Below are 2,539 nucleotides of genomic sequence, written 5' to 3'. Positions count from 1 at the left end.
CAGCAATTAAAGTAGTTCAGATTAAAAATTGCAGGTGTTTAATCTGCATTGTTAACTTATAATTTTGTACATTTTGAACAGCCATTAAAGTAGTTTAGATAAAAAAATTGCAGGAGTTTATACAGTTTTAAACTTAAAAACTTTTTTTTTTTTCAGACGAGTCTCACTCTGTCGCCCAGGCTAGAGTGCAGTGGCACCATCTGGGCTCACTGCAAGCTCCGCCTCCCGGGTTCACGCCATTCTACCTCAGCCTCCCGACTGGCTGGGACTACAGGCGCCCGCCACCACACCCGGCTAATTTTTTGTATTTTTAGTAGAGATGGGGTTTCACCGTGTTAGCCAGGATGGTCTCCATCTCCTGACCTCGTGATCCGCCCGCCTCTGCCTCCCAAAGTGCTGGGATTACAGGCATGAACCACTGCGCCCGGCCTAAACTTACAAACTTTTACAAAATGTTTATAAATTCTTCTAAACTTCTTTTTTTTATTTGAAATAAGTTTAGCATATCAAATCAATTGCAATAGCAAGTCATGTCATGGTCAAGAGGCAATTTATAATACAATGATAATTTTTCTTTTTCCTTTTTTTCTTGGCTTAAAAAAATAGCTGTCTTCCTGCAAGAGTCTTTAGTTCCATCTATAAATTAATTGCCAAAAAAAATCACAGATGGAATTTTCATTATCTTGTGAAGGTGCCCATATATCCAATTGATTTAAAAAAATAGATAAAAATAGTAGCCAACAATGAAAGAAACTGAATTGCCTGTCAATGCATATTTCCAAGAGGACTGAAGATGGCAGGTGACAGGTATGCTATAGAAGGTATTGAGAATGTGAGCTTCACATAAGCAAGAACTTAGTCTGTTTTATTCACTAATATATCCCAAATGTCTTCACTAACACTTGCAATATAGCTCAATAAATACTCAACAAATGAATGAACAAATCAATCATAAATAGTCTAGGCTGGGTGAAGTGGCTGATGCCTGTAATCCCAGCATTTTGGGGGGCCGAGGTGGGAGGATTACTTGATCCCAGGAGTTTGAGTCTGTATTGAGTCATGATTGTGCCATTGCACTCCAGCTTGGGTGACAGAACAAGACCCTGTCTCCAAGAAACCAGAAACTTAGACTATACAGTATTTAAATTGTAAGAATCCATCCACTTAAGATAGCCCCATGTCTTCCTGCTTTGGTTCCTGTGCTTTGTCAAGACCTGGCCTAGTCTTTCTCTGCAGGGCAAGAATTCCCCAGGCAAAGGGGACAGTCCTATAAGAGCCTATGGCACTCCGTGAGAGCACACTAGAGAATTCCACACCTTAATAGCCCTTAGCTTACTTCCAGGGACTGCAAGAGCTGTATCTCAAGGTACAAATGTGGGGCCTGAGGATTAGCCATGGCCAAAGAGCAGCTCCTGGTGTGTCTGAGGATAGACGTTACCTGTATGTATGTGATGTGCTATCATCTCCCATGTTTGCCCACAAACATCTCCTATGTTAGGGAAACATCACCCATGTTTGCTCCTATGTTGCTTCACCCCCTAGAGTGCACACAGACAGAGATAAGAAGGGGTTGGCTATGAGTTGGAGGCTGAGAATCTGGAGCTGGCTCTGCCTGTGCTATCATGTACTAACACAAAGCTTTAAAAAATCTGAACATTCTAGATGGGACCTGGCTTCTCAGGACATTATAAAGGAATAGTTATCAAAATAGAAAGATAAATAAAGATATTTTATTTAACAGGTTTTTTAATTTATCACTTGTAAGTGTCAGGCCTCTGAGCCCAAGCTAAGCCATCATATCCCCTGTGACCTTCACGTACAATCCAGATGGCTGGTTCCTGCCTTAACTGATGACATTCCACCACAAAAGAAGTGAAAATGGCCTGTTCCTGCCTTAACTGATGACATTGTCTTGTGAAATTCCTTCTCCTGGCCCATCCTGGCTCAAAAGCTCCCCCACTGAGTACCTTGTGACCCCCACTCCTGCCCACCAGAGAACAAACCCCTTTGACTGTAATTTTCCTTTATCTACCCAAATCCTATAAAACGGCCCCACCCCTATCTCCCTTCGCTGACTCTCTTTTCGGACTCAGCCCACCTGCACCCAGGTGATTAAAAGCTTTATTGCTCACACAAAGCCTGTTTGGTGGTCTCTTCACATGGACGCACATGAAAGTAAGTATTCAGGTACAAAGCATGTGTGCATCTACTTGAATGTCACAGGTGGGCCTGTGCCCAACACTCATTTCCTTTATTTGCCCTGAGAATGAAGACATCGCAGAGATTCTAAGTGAGTGAGTTTAACTCCCTGTAAGATGAGTTTAACTGCACATAAGTTTGAATAACTACTCTTGTTTTCCTTTGATACGCCTTTTTCAGTCTCTTCGTGCCTCAGGGGTAACTCCTCAATTACCCCCTGTGAGGTCTTCTTGGGCAGATGCTCACAATTGTGTGGCATTACCTCCACAGTGTTGAAGCTACAGATTCCCAGAAACAACCTCAAGAGATTCTGAATCATCATATGTGTATGGGGTGGGAG

The 2,539-nt window shown here is 42.5% G+C and overlaps 1 annotated feature.

The window, feature by feature from the left end:
• Positions 1,662 to 2,190: an enhancer, noted in NCBI's record as "OCT4-NANOG hESC enhancer chr18:26580297-26580825 (GRCh37/hg19 assembly coordinates)". NCBI's record gives its function as "activates a minimal SCP1, AML or CMV promoter by ChIP-STARR-seq in primed H9 embryonic stem cells {active_cell/tissue: H9 hESC(primed)}" and the evidence as "EXISTENCE:reporter gene assay evidence [ECO:0000049][PMID:30033119]".

The sequence above is a fragment of the Homo sapiens genome, chromosome 18 (genome assembly GCF_000001405.40).
Source record: "Homo sapiens chromosome 18, GRCh38.p14 Primary Assembly".
Lineage (NCBI taxonomy): Eukaryota > Metazoa > Chordata > Mammalia > Primates > Hominidae > Homo > Homo sapiens.
The sequence above is the reverse complement of the archived record's forward strand: the minus strand, read 5'-3'. Positions and strand labels throughout refer to the sequence as shown.